General features: G+C 40.2%; 1 protein-coding gene across 10 annotated transcripts in view; it reads right to left on the bottom strand.

Annotated features, from left to right (window-relative positions):
* The window catches only part of SERPINB8 (serpin family B member 8), a 49699-nt gene that overhangs the window by 26140 nt on the left and 5075 nt on the right, over positions 1 to 18484 (bottom strand). For 3 of the 10 annotated variants that reach the window (NM_001366198.1, NM_198833.2, NM_002640.4), the window contains exons 2-7: positions 15164 to 15341; positions 13702 to 13839; positions 11802 to 11919; positions 9919 to 10061; positions 8395 to 8547; positions 4266 to 6766 (exon numbers count right to left, since the gene is read on the bottom strand). In NM_001366198.1, coding sequence (NP_001353127.1) covers positions 6362 to 6766; positions 8395 to 8547; positions 9919 to 10061; positions 11802 to 11919; positions 13702 to 13839; positions 15164 to 15331 — 1125 coding nt within the window. In that variant the 5' untranslated portion in view covers positions 15332 to 15341 and the 3' untranslated portion in view covers positions 4266 to 6361. Of the gene's footprint in view, positions 1 to 4265; positions 6767 to 6989; positions 7383 to 8394; positions 8548 to 9918; positions 10062 to 11801; positions 11920 to 13701; positions 13840 to 15163; positions 15342 to 18484 lie in introns of those variants that run through there. The other 7 variants (NM_001348369.2, NM_001348368.2, NM_001031848.2 and 4 more) reach the window with 6 other exon arrangements.

Genomic DNA, 18484 nt, shown 5'->3' with positions numbered 1-18484 from the left:
TCAACAATTGCTAGAACAGGCAGACACAACATTGGTAATTATATAGAAGACCTGAACAACACTATCACCAACTTCATGGAATTCACATTTACAGAGCACTACACCCCAAAACAGCAGAATATACATTCTTTTCAAGTGATCATGGAGCATTTCCTGAGATAGACCATATTTAGGGGCATAAAATAAATCTCAATATCTTAAAAGAATACAAGTCATTAAAAACATGTTATCTGACTATGGTGAGATTCAATTAGAAGTCAATAACATAAAATCTTTGGAAATCATCAAAACTGGAAACTAAAAATTACACTTTCAAATAATTCATGAGTCAAAAAAGAAATCAAAAGGAAAATCAGAATGTATTTTGAACTGAATAAAAATGCAAAGGATATCAAAATTTATTGATGCCACTAAATCAATACTTAGGGAAATTTTTTATGGTGGTAAACACCTATATTAAAAACCAAGAAAAGTTTCAAGTCAATTACCTGTTTCACCTTAAAAAAACTAAAAAAATACCCAAAATGTAGAGAGCCAGCAAAGGGATCATGACCAACTCAGCATTCCACTGGAGGCTATATGATCAAACAGCAAACTGTTTATCATGAATGCAGGATGTGGGTAAACTCACACTGCACCTGCCGCCAAGAGGTTTGCTGAGGGTCATCACTCCCTGGCACCAGGCTCCTTGAAGTTATCTACTGGAAAATCTAGCGCCTATTGTTCAAAGGATGCAGTGTCACAAGCCTGCTGTGAACCAAACGGCCGACTGACAATTACCCGACAATCACCCCCACTTTTTTTGCTATCTCTTTTACCTAATAAATACGGAGGACTGAAAAAGTTTAGGGCCCTTGCCTACTAGAGGCAAGGTGCCCCCGACCCCTTCTTCCAAATATACTCTTTTGTCTTTGTCTTTTATTCCCGCGTTCATCCTACTTTGTTCAGTGCATCAGGGATCGTGGTCGGTTACATCAAAAAGTGAAAAAATTAAATGTGAAGTAATCAGAAAAAGGAAATAATAAAGATCAGAGCAGAAATCAATGTTGTGGACAGAAAAACAATAGTGAAAATCAATGAAACCAAAAGCTGGTTCTGAGAAACAGCAATAAAATTTATCAACACCTAGTCATACTGATCAGAAAAGAGAAAAAGGCACAAGCTACTAATCTCAGAAATGAGAGCGATGGTATTACTACAGATTTTACAGCTATTAAAAGAAAAATAAGAGACTATTATAAACAACTTTACAACAGTAAATTTGATGACTAGAAAATGAACAAATTCCTTGAAAGACACAAGCTACCAAAGCTAACTCAAGAAGAAATATGTAATTTGAATAGTTCACTATCTATTAATGAAAATAGAGTTGCAATATAAAGCCACTCCAGTCTCGGATGGTTTCACCAAACATTAAAGGAAGAAATAATACCAATTATACAACATCTGTTCCAGAAAATTGCAAAGGTAGGTATGTTTCTCAACTCATTCTTTGAGACCAGAATTACCTAAAACCAAAGTGAGACAAAGATATTACAAAATAGGAATAGTACAGACTAATGTCTCTCATGAATGGAGATGAGCAATTCTAAAAATATTTTAACAAATTGCATCCAATACTAGACAAAATAGGAAATACATCATGACCAAGTGGAGTTTCTCCCAGTAACGCAAGATTGTTTCAACATTCAAAAATTAATCCCAATATTAACAAAACCATATGATCATCTAAAAGAAACAAAAAAGCATTTGACAGAATCCAACATCTATTCCTGATATAAACACAACAAACTACGAATAAAAGAGACCTTCTTCACCTGTTAAAGGGCACCTATGAAAAGCCTACAGCTAATATCACGTTTAATGATGGGAGCCTTCGTGCTTTCCCCTAAGATCAGGAACCAGACAAGGATGTCTGTTTTCACTACTTCTAATCAAGTCAGTGCAATAAGGCAAAGAAAAAAAAAAAGCTATCTAAATGTGAAAGAAAGAGGAAATTTTGTCTTTATTAGCAGACATGGAACTAGAAACACAGCTACTAGAACTAAGTGATTTTAGCAAGTTTGCAAGATATAAGGCTGAGATACAAAAAAAAACCTGTATTATATTTCCATATACTAGCAACAATTAATCAGAAATTGAAATTAAAAAGCAACACCACTTATAATAGCACAAAATAGAATATACTTAAGGATAAATCTGACAAAATTTGTGCCAGACTTGTATACTGAAAACTACAAAACTATGCTGAGATTAATCAATAAAAACCTAAAAGAATGAGAAACATGCCTTGTTCACGGGTTGGAAGACTCAATATTGCTAGTATGTCTATTCTCTCCAAATTGATATTTAGAATTCACACAGTCCTAATCAAAATTGCAGCAGGCTTTGTACAAGTCAACAAGCAAATTATAAAATTCACAGGGAAAGATAGAGGACTGAAAGCAGATAAAACAACTTTGAAAAATAAAGTTGGAAAACTTATGTCACTTAAGTGTTTTCAAAACTTATTATTAAGCTACAGTAATTCAGACAATGTGGAATTGACATCAAGATAGACAAGCAGATCAATGGAATCCAATAGAATCCAGAAATAGAACCACATATCCATGATCAACTGATTTTTGACAAAGATGCAAAGGCAATTCAGTGGAAAATGGATAGCATTTTCATCATATGCAAAACATGAACTCAAAATTGATCATAGGCCAAAAAGGAAAATTAAATCCGGTAACACTTCTGGAAGAAACATAGGAGATCCTTGTGACTTTGGATTAGGCAAAGCATTCCTTCAATATGACAACAAAAGCATTAAGCATAAACAAAGAAACAAAATGATAAAATGGACTTCATCAAAATTAAGAACTGCTTTTTAAAGGCACTGTTATAGAAATGGTGGGAATTGAACAATGAGAACACATGGACACAGGAAGGGGAACATCACACCCGGGGCCTGTTGTGGGGTGGGGGGGAGGGATGAGGGATAGCATTAGGAGATACACCTAAAGTTAAATGACGAGTTAATGGGTGCAGCACACCAACATGGCACATGTATACATATGTAACAAACCTGCACATTGTGCACATGTACCCTAAAACTTAAAGTATAGTAAAAAAATAAAGTGTGCAAAATAAAGATTGAAAAAAAAAAGAAATGAAAATTGAAGCCATGAGCTGGGAGAAAAATGTTTTCAGATCACATATATGATAAAAGATTTGGTAGCCATATCACGAGATTTCTCAAAATACAATAAGAAAACAAAAGGCCAGGTGCGGTGGCTCATACCTGTAATCCCAGAATTTTGGGAGGCCAAGGAGGGCAGATGACCTGAGGTCAGGAGTTCAAAACCAGCCTGGCCAACATGGGGAAACCCTGTATCTACTAAAAATACAAAAATTAGCCGGCTGTGGTGGCACACGCCTGTAGTCCCAGCTACTCAGGGGTCTGAGGCACGAGAATTGCTTGAACCCAGGAGGCGGAGGTTGCAGTGAGCCGAGATCGTGCCCCTGCCCTGCAGCCTGGCAACAGAGAAATACTCTGTCTCAAAAAGAAAAAAAAAAAAAAAAACACGAAAACAAAATAAAGCAAGAAGCAATAAAATATCGATGAGACATTTAAAAAGACATTTCATCAAAGAACATATATGGATAGCAAATAAGCACATTTTGGTTTTTTTTTTTTTTTTTTTTTTTTTTTGAGACAGAGTCTCGCTCTGTCGCCCAGGCTGGAGTGCAGTGGCGGGATCTCGGCTCACTGCAAGCTCCGCCTCCCGGGTTCACGCCATTCTCCTGCCTCAGCCTCCCGAGTAGCTGGGACTACAGGCGCCCACCACTACGCCCAGCTAATTTTTTGTATTTTTAGTAGAGACGGGGTTTCACCGTTTTAGCCGGGATGGTCTCGATCTCCTTACCTCGTGATCCGCCCGCCTCGGCCTCCCAAAGTGCTGGGATTACAGGCGTGAGCCACCGCGCCCGGCCTAAGCACATTTTTTTAAATGCTGAACATAATTAGGCATTAGGGAAATGCAACCAAAAGCCGGTACACGCTGAAAGTAACAACACTGGTAGTACCAAGTATTGGTGAGAAGAGAGAAAAACCAGAACTCTCCTAGGCTTTACTGGGAATGTTAAATGATACAACCACTTTCAAAGGCAATTTGGCAGATCCTTAAAAAGTTAAACTTACACCTTCCATATGACCCAGCCATTCTACTTCTATGTATCTATATACAAAAGAAATGAAGACATATGTCCATACAAAGATGTATATATATAAATATTCATAAAAACTTTATTTTCAATAGCAAAAATCTTGGTAACAACGTAAATGTTCATCAACAGGTAAATTTGTTCATCAACAAATCATGGTATACCTATACAAAAAAATGTTACTTACCAATAAAAGGGATGAACTATTGATACATACAATAACATAAATGAATCTCAAAATAATTGTACTGAGTGACAGGAGTCATACTACAAAGCATAGATGATGTATGGTTCCATGTATGTAAATTTCTTTAAAAATGCAAATTAATCTATAGTGACAGAAAGAAGATTGGTAGTTGCCTGAGCAGATCAGTGGTTGGGATGGGACGGGGAGAGGGAGAAGGAAGAGTGAGAAATTACAAAGATGCAAGAAGGAATTTGGGAGTATGATAGATAGGTTCATTATCTTGAATATAGCGATGGTTTGTTTCATGGAAAATGTGTCAGAACTTATTGTAGAGGTTAAATATGTGAAATGTATTCTGTGTCAATTAAAGTGTTCTTCAAATTAGAGGTGGAAGTGAGAACAAAACTCACAGATGTATACCTTTCAGTCCTGTGGATTAATTTTGCCCAAACCTGCTTTGGAAAACATGATCCCTAAATGAATGTGGCCTAACAGATATATCCTGGCTTGGTCAAATTTAAGTAAGAGCTGTAATATGAATGGTTCATGTAACTGTTAACTGTCAGTCAAAAACAGAGTCAGGATTAACCACTGTTCAGTCCAACTCATTAAAGAAATAATAAAGCAGGCAGCAGTCAGTGGTGGTATAAACAGTGACATAAGTGAGAGTACAAACCAGTGTAACTTTCTAGGGACCAATTTGGAAGAAGTCTCAAAATGTGCTCAACTTTTATCTCAACAGTACTATTGTTAGGAATTTTAAAAAATATATTAAGGATGTGAGCAAATATTTAGTATATCCAAAACAGCATAATATATATTATTAGCAATCTATTATTTGTTAATAGAAATAATTTTAATTACTCAAACTGTCTAAAATTAGATTCAATTATAGAAATCCAGCCACACAGTGGAATACTATGCACATCAAATTGATGACCTGGAAAGATCTTAAGGGAGGTTTTTCATAAGGGAAGAAATAAGCTACTGAAGGATATGATTAACTTGTAGTAAAATGCTTATAAATTTCTATTTGCATACACATAATAGGGAAGGATGTATATCACTATTAACAGCAGTGATTGCTGTGTGTTGGAATTGTGGGTGACTTCAATTTTTTTGGAGACTTTGCTGTAGTTTCCAAATTGCTGCCACAACGCAATTTTATTTTTAGGCAGAAAAAAATTAATGTATATGGAGGTTCTTTCTTAACTAAGGGGTGTGCTTGAGCTGTGTCTGAGCACATATGATTAGTTAGAGGACTCAGTGGTGTGTTGCGTAAGTTCCTTTGGTATTTTGTGTGTTTCAGAGGGAAAAGGAATGGAAAGAACAGCATAGCAAGCTTCAGATATTTGCCTCCTAGCTCAGTCCTAAAGTGCATTGCTGAGTCCCTGAACTTGTATCTCAGGCTTATGGAAAGATGAGAAGGAGCTGTCTTCATTACAAACTGTGTGAGACAGGGGGCATGCAGGGCTGTCTATGTGACAGTGACAGAAGCAGATCACTATTTCAGCTGCACATGAGACACAGGGTGGCTGCAGCTTTACTCTATAGGGTTTGCCCTTGGCTTTGTGTGCAGTGTCACCTGGGCACTAGTCCCCTGTTCAGCCTGGCAGTGGTGGTGGGCAGAGCCGGGCGGATGGAAGAGGGCTGGCTCCTGAAGCCCTGAGATGCTCCATAAGATCCCCTGAAACAATGGGCACAGACTTAGGTGAAGGCAGAGGCAATGGCAGGCACCCCAAACACTCCAAAACCAGCATAGCCTTCCCAGGCCCAAATTTCATGCATCTGCGGCCTCAGTTATTCTCAATGGCTCTGGAACTTTCAGCAAAGACTTTCACACACTATCCAGTGCACACGCTTTATTTTGGCATTCAAGCCACTGCACCAACTAGGTCACAGGGAATGTTAATTAAGGCAAGATAGGTAGAAGGAAAGGAGGGTATGTACAGCAATTGCTCCTCTTTACGGAGAAGAGAACCTGCCACAGAACAAGATGCAGTTGGTTTTGTGGTGCCTGATGAAGAAAAGAAAAGGGTGGTCTGCACAGAATCTTGGCTCCATTCTGCTGCACCGGGAATTCCTGACCACAGCAGTGGCTGCGGCAGCCTCTGTGCCTTCCTCATTGACCTCCACGAAGCACTTGTGGGCAACCTTGGACAGAGGCACATTCTTCTCAGTTGACATTCCAGAAAAGTCTGCCTTGGCTTCGTCAAAAGCATCGATCATTCCTAATCTTCGAAGGAAAGGCTCCAAGTCATAACTCTCCTCCAGCTTTAATCTGGGAAGGAAAACTTGAACCTTACTTTTTGTCAACTTTTCTGAATTTGTCCAGGCTTTGAATTTCTCATATGTAAGTGCTTTTTCCACCTAGGATAAGAAAGACTCAAACCTTAAAATTTAGATGACAATAGCCTGATACCCACACACCCATTTATTACCCCTCCCCCAATGACATGCAATTAGATGGTGAGTTCTGGTCCAAGAAAATCTACAGATATTTTCTTTTATAAACACACCAAGATTTTCTCCCAAATTTTCATCTTTTCACAGTTTTATGGAGACAAGTGTAAAAGAGCTAGTAAACACCTGAGACAGGCAGAAATTTTTAATAAAAACAATTTGTACCTAACTCCTTTCAAATGTTAAAAACATTTTTTAACAGTTTAGAAAATTCTAACCAATTCATTACATTAATCTTCATGCAATACATACTACTGTGAGTGGGAGAGATTGTTTGACAAAAGACAAAGAGCATGGCTCAGAACTCTGCTTCTGAGTCTAATGAGGGGACTATTCAGGGTTAAATCAGAGGGCAACTCAGAGTAAAAGAGAGGGAATTGTGTTTCATCTGAAGATGAAGGGAGGCATGAGAAGGGAGCATGAGACGAGAAATGGGGAATGCAAGAAGACTTCATCAGCATCCTTGTTTGTCCTCTGCCTGTCCTGGAGTTAGCTTCAAATTCTTCAAGATCCATCACTCTTTCTATTTATCAATAAGGTAGAAAGAAAAAAGGGAGAAAGGCCTTCCACTAGCATCTCCCCTTCCCTTTAACAACTGGAGCCCAGGTGGGTACTCCTCTCCAACGAGCATTGTTTTGATTTTGACTCTATTTCTAGACTCTCCTAATTTTCTCATAAGTGGCCACAACAGATGTCATCCCTGACTTAGGGCAGTAGCTTTCTGATTCCAAAGGGAAGCCAGGAAAATCAAGCAGCCCACCCTCAACATCCTGTGCATTGGTGTGCCAGAGCTGACCCCTATCAATTGTTAAACCCTCAGTAGACTAAAGTCGGCCATGGTGGGAGTATTTACCATGTCATGAGAATCAGCAAACTTTATAAATGAAGGCTTCTCCCACCTCCCAGAGCTGGTTTACAAGTGCACTATTAGTCTTGCACCTCCTACCTTGCAAGTTTACCACTTCCCTTCCTGGACTCTGTTCCTTTTCTGTCACAGTAAGACTTTTCTCTCCTCTTGTATAAGGTAAATTTCCCACCTGTACTTTAGACTTTTGCTATTCATAGTGTGGTTCCAAGCATCTGTATCACTTGGAATCTTGTTACAAATGCAACATCTCAGGCCACACTCCATTGAATCAAAATCTGCACTTTAACAAGATCACTAGAATCATATATGTGCATTAGTGTTTGAGAATCACTGCCAAGATTGATCCCTACCCTTCTTCCAGGACTTTTGTGCAATAATCATTGGGCTTTCAAATAGACCTTCCATGCAGAATAAAGAATAATATTCCAAATAATAATATATTTAGAACTCTCTCTTCTTAGCTTCATCAAAACTTGTCCACTCATATATGTATACACTCAACAGAAATGCATGAACATGTTCATCAAAAGACACACAATGATGTTCACCCAGCACTGCCTGTAATAACCCCAACTGGAAACTCCTCAAATGCCAATTGGTAGATGAACATAAAGAAATGAGCTCAGCTGGACTCCACAGATACTCAGGCTCATTGCCTGGAGCTTACCACGGCGAGGTCCGTGTTGTCATCGGGAAGCAGAATGACCATGCTCAGCTCCTCTTCCACATAGGGCAGCTCCAGGACCTGGGTGTGTACCTCATCCGCATACCCCATTTTAAACTTAGCTTCCTTAAACATCATCTGCACTGTCTTTTTTTCCTAACGGAAAAATTAAAGTTCGATTACTGAAAAGTGGGTATAATTTACTAAAAATAGGATATATCTAACTCACAGAAACTCTAGGTGTGTATAATTACTGTTTCTGCACATTTATGCTGATAGATATAAAATCTTCATTAGTACATCTTAGTATTGAATAGAACAAGCTATTGTTCCAGCAGATCAAATATTACCAGGTGAGAAAAAAAAAACAGTTTGGTAAATGGAGAAGGACACAAAAATTGACATTATCCTTGGAAGAAGCTGTGTTTGCTTTTTTGAGAACATTCACAGAGAAGCTTTCTCATGGAAGCTTCCAACTAAAAATTCTTTATCGAAGTTAAGATAAATATTCAGGCCCTTGGGCTGAAGGATCTGGTTAGAAAAGATGTACGGTCCAAACTCTGGAAAGTTGCCTTGTTGTAGAATTGGTTTTATGGCCTTGGCTTTCTTAGGAAGGGGACCTTGAAGAGATGTGTAAGGTCTGCTGTTTTTAAAGCCTGCATCAAATATATTTTTAACTTTCATATCTTTGTGCAATATGAGAGTATCATATTTGATGGATGTCAAATCCCAAGCTAACAACTATTGATACCAGCCATTTTAATATTCAAAAGGGAAGGTAAAGTTAGGCTTTACATCTGCTAACTTTTTTTTCTTGTGCTCAGGATTGTATAACTTTGACTTTTAAGGCAATAAATAGGCATAGTTGCCACTGATATTGCAAAAAGGTATCTAACTAAATACAGAGAGTAATAGCATCATGCAAACATAATTCCAAGGCTTAGAAGAAATTCTCCTCCAATCCAAATCATATGACCAGAGATGGAAGGTAGATTTGATCAAAGATGGAAAAACAAAACTATCAATACCAAAATTATTTTTGTTTCTCTCTTCCTTCCGCCATTAAAGATACACAGGAGGCATTAAATTCATTCAGAAAAGAAGCCAGGCACAGTGGCTCCTGCCTGTAATTCCAGAACTTTGGGAGGATAAGGCAGGTGTATCACTTGAGGCCAGGAGTTTGAGACCAACCTGGGCAATATGACAAAACCTTATCTCTACAAAAAATACAAAAATTAGCCAGGCCTGGTGGTGTGCACCTGTAGTCACAGCTACTTGGGAAGCTAAGGTTGGGGAATCATTTGAGCCTGGGAGGTCGAGGCTGCAGTGAGCTGAGATTACACCACTGCACTCCAGCCTGGGTGACAAAAAGAGACCCTGTCTCAAAGAAAATAAAATAATATAATATAATTCAGAAATAGATTAAAATCAAGATCATGTCAAATAAATTATTCATTTTTCCAAGAGAATATTTCCTGTAATATTACTTTAAGAAAGTAGCAGTATATCTGAAAAATCTTTCCCTACCTCGTTGGTTTTAAAGAGCATTCCCCTTGTGTACTTTCTGTCAAATTGCTCATTCCACTTTCCCTTGAAATAAATGGCATTCACAAGGACCAGCTTTGTCAGGGGATCGACTGTCCCAGCATCCAGTACCTCTGAAATCTTACCTATAAAGAATATGAGAGTTTATTGCAATTTGTGGGGAAATAAGCATTCTTTTACAAAAATCCCTTTGACACATAAGGCAGAGGCTTGGTTGAGAGACAGGCTGGAGTTCTGTCTTTCTGGGCCCCTGATGAATTAGGCGATGGTGTTTAGCAGTGTGGCATACACAGTGTAACATTTGTGCTTAAGAAAAAAATCTTGAAGTAGGAAGGGCAACTATCATTTTGCCCTCAATTTATGGATGTAGAAATTCAGGACCAGAGCATTTGCCAGACTTTTGCTGAGTGCACACAGGTGACAAGTGGCTGAGTTGAGAACATCACCCCAGAGTCTTGATTCTGACTATGGGGCAGTCAACCTTGGCACTATCATATCCAAGCCTCACCGCTATTGTCATTTTAAGCCAGATAATTCTTTGTTATGGGGGCTGTCTTGTGCATTGTAGGATGTTTAGCCAGCAGCATTTCTTCCCATTTTGACAACCAAGATTGTCTTCAGCCATTATCCAATGGCACCTGGAGGGCAAAGCTACCCCTGGTTGAGGATCATTGCTCTATGCATATATTCAAACCTCATCAGACAAGGAAAGCTTTCCAAAGGATGAGAGAACACAGATCTGTCAATGGGAGAAGGCAGCCTCTCTGAAGGGGGTGAATGGGGCAAAGGAATTAGGGGGGTAGAATAGAGGGGCCCAAATTGAGTTGTCCAATGAGAGGGTAACAAGGTCATCTCCAAGGTCCCCTTCAGCTCTAATATTCTGGGGGAAATGTGGGTGGTCAGCCTAAGGGAAGGAAGGGCATAAGCAGCCCTGGAAGAGCAGTGACAGGTATAGGGCAGTGGGGGGAAGGTGTGGAGAAACTTCTAGGTTCCTCAGGTGACAGTACTGTTGAACAACTGGAAAGACCACTAGGCAGATGATGTATGAAAACACAAAAGGCTCTTCCCTTCCCATGGTAATTATTGTATTGGCTTTCAGTAGAATCAGGGGCATTACTTCTGCTGGACACACAGTGGTTGCGACATAGGATGGAATGGATGCAATAATGAGTGCTAGGTTGGCCCTTGAAATAAGTGACTTAATTCCTCCACCGTTTACAAGTATCGAAATTACTTGTTAGGTATTTAGGATGCTTTAAAGTATGACTCCCCCTTTTTCCTACTGAAGTAAAGAACTGGCAGAAATATTTCTGGTGGGATGGAATGTGGTCTGGGCAGGGAACACTGCAGGCTCCATGTCGCTGCACCTCCAGAATAGGGAACAAATTCAGAAAAGGCCACACTCTGAGAGCAAATGTAGCCATGGCCAAGTTAAAAAGGAAGGAGAAGGCTGCAGATCAAACTACTGAGCTGTCCCATTACCACGCGGAGGAGATAACATGAGAGCATGAAATGTTGCCCTCTCTAAGCCGCAACTTAATTGAATGCCATTCTGTCTCCGAGCATGGAAGGGCCTCTCAGATAGAAGATTAACAGAATTCCAAGGAGGAGCCATTTTCCAGGGATTTTCCAGCACGGTCCACAGGGGAGGAGGTCAGAGATTCAACATTAGTTTTAGAAATCAGTACTTCATGATCTGATAAGAAATGACAGAGTTGCATTGCTGGCCTGTAAACTCAGCAAACACATACAAACAGGCCTGTGGTATGCAGGTCACAGTGGCAACACCCTGGGAAGTCCCATCCCAGTCAATCTAAGCCTCGTTGTATAGTAATTCCAAATCAACAGAAATGAAACTGTCTCACCTTCAGTCTTCTCTGCCACCCAGTCATTTATATGCTTCCTGCACTCTTCAGTGTCTTCAGCAAAGGACAACTCCTCCAGCTCTGCCTGATAGAACTTCTGACAGTATTCTTTAAAGTCCTGCAAACACAAAACACTGAGTTTAGTCTCATTTGGTAAAGGTTCCCACAAATGCAAAAGCATTTTGTTTTCTCTTACTGCATTTCTACAATAAGTGCTTGGACAGGTCACACTCCACTTCAAGGTGCATGCGTGCAATTAACAAAAATGTATGGGCCACCTATTCTTGCCTGGTACTGGGCAAGGTGCTTGGCTTGAGGAGGTCCACAGCCTGAGAAGAGGCAGCTGAGACACCCAGACACTTACAGGACATCATGAGCTGCCACTATCCACAAAACATCACAGGAGCATCCTTGTCAAACGCTCTCCACTGACTTTAATATTGCTTCCCTCACTAGGCAGTCTAACACACTTTTACTCATTTTGCATCACCAGCACCAACTACAGTATTGTGGTTTTGGTTAAACGAGAGGCTTTATAAGGGAACTAGATTGTTAAGAAATCGTGTTGAACTGCAAAGAAGGAAATAGCATTTTAGATCTGGGTCATATGGTTGGTTGGAAGAATACAGAGCAAGGAAGGCCCCATGGGAATGGAGCGTGATAGGCCTGGATCATAGGGTGTGTGTGCAACTGGGTTCATACGTGTGCATGCGTGTGAACATCTGTGTGCATGAGTGCACATGTGTACATGTGAGTGCTTGGGCACCTGCATGTGTGTGGATTGCATGCATGTTTGTGTGTGTGTGTACATGTGTATGTGTGTTTGTGTGTATCAGGGAGGGGATTAAGGGAAACAGTGGCAGGGGAAGAGCCTTGAAATGTAAGTTGGGGTCCAATCAGAAAAGTCCTGTACCCAACACATTAAAACCCAGATAACTTACCTCACAAAAACCTGGCTTTGGATATAATAGGCCTGGAAACTGGCTCCCAGCCTCTGTCCATTCCCTGTTCTCAAATATTTTAATTTCAGCCAAAGAAAGAGGATATAGAGGGAAGGAGGAGCCAAGCCACCAGGAAAAGTAGAGGTTGGCTCCCTGTGTCCCAAGTATTACAACAGTAGTAGATCAGGCTGATGTTCAAAAATGAAATGGATTCATCAGGAGATTCCTGGGATCCAGAGTCACCTTCTGAGGTAGATAAACCCAGAGCAGGCAAATTCCGGGAACAGCACCCAGCAGCTACCAGGACAGGGATGTATTTGAGCCTTAGAGGAGTCCTCTCAGAACCTCCAGCCAATAGGATGGCCAAGCTTGCTGCAATCAGTTCACTAATTTTAAGACAACATCACCCTGCATATCAGGTGGCATGATTTTTGAACCTCACTGATTGCATTATGCCAGGCTGGACTAGGGAACCTTGGAATTATATGCTGAAGTAAATAGAAACTGCTTAGATTTAAAACCTCAATTTTATGAACAGATTTTCATTTTAGAAAGACGATTGTGTCAGTTGTAGGTGCAATTCAGAAGAGGGCGGGCAAATTTAAGAGAATTTGAGAGGCTACCTCAGCAGGAGGCAGCCGAATAACCACACTTGGGACTGGGGAGGAGCTCTGTACAGCGTGTTGAATGATGTGGTCACTCAGGGACAGGGAATTAAGGGGGAGAAGCAGGGCTGCGTGCAGGAGAATTGACATATTGGGATTGATAACAGGGATGGGTGTATCAGTAACAATTTACAAAGGACGTAATTCAGAAGTCATCATAAAATCTAAAATTGTAATTTCAGAAGTGTAATTCCAAGCACGTTTTAAGTCAGTACAGTTATACTTTATTATCTGCTCTTCTGTAGTCTAACTTACTTTCAATTTCTTTGTCATCAATATGTGAATACTACTTACTGGAAGGAAATCACACGTCTTTTCTCCAAAGAGTCTGTTGGCAGTTCTAAGCAAGTACTGAGTGCCAGTTCTGTTAACTTCACTGAGAAGTGACTGGAAACCTCGGTGAATATCTCCGTCTTTGTATAAACAAAGTGCCTGGGAACAGAAACCAACACTGACTTTTAACGCTGCCATTATACTCTCCCAAAGAGCTTTCTCCAAACAAACCTCTGTACTAAAAAAACCACACAGGATCCTACTTTAAAAAGGTTTGGCCTAATTGTCTAGCACAGGGTTTCTCAACGTGGGCAATGCAGCATTGACATTTGGGGCCAGGACACTTCCTTGTCTCATATAAGCATTGTAGGATTTTTGCAGCACTTCTGGCTTCCATCCACTAGATGTCAGTAGCACCTCTCAGTTATGGGATCTAAAACTCCAGGTCTTCGCAAGGGTCCCCAGGAAGGAAAAATTCACCCACCGACCCCTACCTCCCACCCACCAGGTGAGAACCACTAGTCTAGCAAATTTATTCATGCCAGCAAGGCAGTGTGCGATAATTCAGGGGGAAGGCAGAACAGAAAAAAGTAAGTAACTGGGATGAATTACAACTCGGGTAATACAAACAAAAGCAGCAATAAAACTAAAAATGTTTCATCTGCAATTTTACAGAAGTTCTCCAGACCATATTATAAATTAAATGTCAAGTCAGAGTGAGAATTAAGGTTATTCCTATATCTCTCGATCACCCCCAGTCCAAAGCCTCACTCCTCCAATCAGTTGAAAGAAACAACCACAGAAGGATGTCAACTGGGGTCCCTGGGTGCATTTTAGGAGACTGTCTATACACTCCTGATATTGGTGGCAAAATGATATCCATTTGGCAATTATCTGGGACATCTTCACCAATAGTCAGAGAACTGTTCCTAAAGCATTATCCCACACCTCGTTTGTAGATAAGGTCATACATCACCATTTTGAATCAAACAGATTATATATTCCTCAAATCACTCCAGAAGATATAAGTCCACACTTGTGTTACATTCCTCTTCTAGGATGCATAATCATGCACTAAAATAACCCACTTAACAAAAAGTTAATCTACGCACCCACATGTCTATTAAAAATATAATGTTAGCAAAAGTTTAAAATGTAACAAAATTGGAATATTTTGCTTTCTTGTGGGACAGAATTATACTTTATCCTACTTATCAAAGATGTGAATTTGCCAGACTGTATTGATGATCTGATCTAGAGAAAATAACTCTATGGCTTGACTTCTCCCATAAACATCAGAGGAGATGATCTGTCCAACACATTTCACCTTTCTACCCCTTTCTGCTCTTCTCCACTGCCGAGCTGCTCCTCCTTCTACCTCCAGCTCCACAGGCCTCAGCTAGAGCAAAAGTACAGAAAGACAGCTGTATGGAAGCACAAGGGAAACACACTGTTCTCCTTCCTTTGTGACAAGCACACATACCTGGGACATCTGGGCTGCAGTGCTTCCCTTTGCCCCCATGAAGACCATGGCCAGGGCAGAGGAGATGCTCATGGGAGAGAAGAATACGTTTCTTGAGTTGTCCTCTTCCCCCAATATTTTAAATAAGCTGATGGCAAAAGTGCCATTTGCTTCACAGAGGTCATCCATCAGAGAAGGTCTGCATCAAAGGCACAGCAGGGAAAAGCACATAAGCCAATGACTCCGGTAGCCACGCAGTCATTCATCCCCCAGTCAGTGGACGCTGAGGTGGTAGGTGGAAGAACCACCCTCCAAAGACTTCCACTCCTAATTCCCAAAACCTGTGACTACATGATCTGCCCTGGCAATAAGGACTTTGCAAATGGTATTCAGTTAAGTATTTTGAGATCTGAGATTATCCTGAGTTATCCCAGTGGGCTTAATGGAATCACGAGCGTCCTTAAAAGAGAGAGGCAGGAGGGGCAGAGTCAGAGACAGAGACATGAGGACGGAAGCAGAGGTCAGAGGGATAGGGGCCACTGATGAAGGAATGCAACCTCCTCGAGAAGCCAGAAAAGGCAAGGAACAGATTTTCTTCTAGAGACTCCAGAAAATAACATTGCTATGCTGTACCATTTTGGACTTAGGACTTCCAGAACCATAAGATAATAAATGTGTGTCATTTTTCAGCCACTAAATTTGTGGTAAAGTGTTATCACACCAATAGGAAACAAAAACACTGGTTTATTCATAAAATAGCCAATCTCAGGGCCTATGACTTGTATCCCTCTTAGCAACAGGGGCACAGACACCCTGCAACACCTGCTTACTTCCTCCCTTGGTATAGCAGCAGCCAAAAGGTCTTTGTGCGGACGGGTGTGGTGCCTCACACCTGTAATCCCAGCACTTTGGAAAGCCAAGGCAGGCAGATCACTTGAGGTCAGCAGTTCGAGACCAGCCTGGCCAACAAGGTGAAACCCCATCTCTATTGAAAATTCAAAAATTATCCAGGCATGGTGGCGGGCACCTGTAATCCCAGCTACTTGGAAGGCTGAGGCAGGAGAATCACTTGAGCCCCAGGAGGTGGAGGCTGCAGAGAGCCGAGATCACGCCACTGCACTCCAGCCTGGGCAACAGAGTGAGACTCCATCTCAGGAAAAAAAAAAAAAGATCTTGGTGCCAGGCACTGTTTTCAGCACTTTCCATTATCACCCAATAACACATTGAGGTCAGTATAGTTATTGCCCCACTTTAGAGATGAGAAGACTGAGTGAGGTTTAGTAACTCATTCCAGAACCCTCAGGTAGTCATAAACGCCTGGCACCCACAGTTTGATTCCAGAGCCTGAATTCTTAATCATTACACAAAATCCCCCTATTGCTGCTAATTATCTTTCAGTTTAATGTCTCCAATATAATCTATAAAGAATGTTCTAAAACTTATATATGTAATTCTTTATCAATAAAAACTGTATTTCTGTCATCACTTCCTGTGAAAACAGCTAGATACATTTCACCAAATTTGGAGGGTTTGTTTGAGATAGGCTGGCCTGAAATATGAGGCTACTGGAAAGACAAAAAAAAAAAAAATTACTTTTTAAAGTGACTCCAAAAAGATGCCCCATTTTCCCCAAGAGTTGCTGAAACTGGGTTACGGAGTTGCAAAGAAAGTCCATAGGCATGGATATAAAATATGAAGCCCTAATCTTGTCATCGAGGGAGCACTTTTAATTAGATGCATTGATTTTTGGATCCTCCTGGCTAAGAGGGTCTTAACATTCCCCTCAGCTTGAATTAACTTTAGACAACCTAAACTTGACTAAATAAACAAACTAAACAGGCTTCCTCCTGCCTCTAGGCCCTTTCTTCCTTTTTCTTAAAGCATTTTATTTAGAGAACTTGTCATTGTAAATTCTTTATCAGCCCCTTTGAGATGTAAATCTTTTAAAAAAGCTTCTTGCTAGTTTTACATCCCAGGACAGTCTCTCAAAGACCTGGAAGCCATCCTTTTGAAATGTAATCATCAAGAAAGATAGCATCCCTATCAACCAGTTCTGTGGAAGGTAGGAGCCTAATCTAGGGGGGCACCTTGCTTAAAGTGCTAAAAAGCTATTACAGTTTACTATTATTATAATTTTAGTGCATTATTATAAGTCCTACATTGTTGTTTATATCTATTAAACCCTATAAAAACGTGGGCTATTTCATAAAATATTGCAGTTCACCAACTCATCTCAATTTCCCTCAGCCTTTTTGTTCTTACAATTGAGAACATTTGGGAAAATAAAAGGACAAATCATTATCTATAATCTCATGATCCTACAGATATTTTTTCTATTATATTATCCTTTTTTTCATAAACATGTATAATTTTAACTGAAAAATGTAGTCAAACAAGAAAAATATGCTCCAGTTTGGAAAATTAGCAAATGAGCAAAATGAAAAGTCCTGGAAACTCTATCTAGAGATATAAATTATCGTGCATGTGTTCATTTCTATAAACAGATGGAGCCTCATCCAGTTTCCCAGCGGCCTACAAAGTGCCTGTTGCAGCAGCTCTGAAACTGTATGCCCTTAGTGGGGGTCTTGGACAGGTCTTCTGGGTCTCTTAGAGCACAGGAGGAAAGGGGAATTGAGTGGCTGAGACAAGGAAGTGGGGAACAACTGTATTAACCAAAGTATCTTCACTGTTGGATGTTTTGCTTCCTCCTAAGATATTTCGCTTCCTCCTAAGATATTTTTCAACAGAAGGGTGTCTCTTACTTAAACAAAAAAGTGAGCTTATATATTTTTTTAAAGTGTAAAGGCAACACTCTAAATATAGAACAACAGTCTAAAGCAGTGCAAATTCTTTAAAGTTTAAAATAAATGTTAGTGCAGTTCAGAAAAAAACAAGTAGGGTTAGGGTTATGGTTAGGGTTCAGAAAACTAAGTAAAATAAATGTGAACCAAGAAAACACAATCATGACATAATTTGCACAACAGTACTCTATACTTAAGAGGTTGTTTATTATGGAACAAAATATTCCTGTTTCTCACTATCCTCACATCATAAGACCTCTCCAGAGCTTATACTAGGGTCTGCAGATGTTGGAAGGCAGAGTAGTATGTGCAGGCAAGTCCCGGGGTCCTCCACAACCTCATCTTTCACTCGAGGACATTTCAGAGACTGGGAGGCAGGAAGGAATATTCAGACTTCATAGAACTGGGCCAACCAGAAGGTGGCACCAAAGAAACTTAAAGATGGAGAGAATTGGGTAAACTGGGTAAGACAGAGACACAAATAAATTTGGATTTGATCCAACCTTAGCATAAGAGCTTTGGACTCAGGGTGAAGCAAGCA

This window comes from Homo sapiens, chromosome 18 (assembly GCF_000001405.40).
Source record: "Homo sapiens chromosome 18, GRCh38.p14 Primary Assembly".
In the NCBI taxonomy this organism is placed as follows: Eukaryota; Metazoa; Chordata; class Mammalia; order Primates; family Hominidae; genus Homo; species Homo sapiens.
This window is presented reverse-complemented; position numbering and strand designations above follow the sequence as displayed.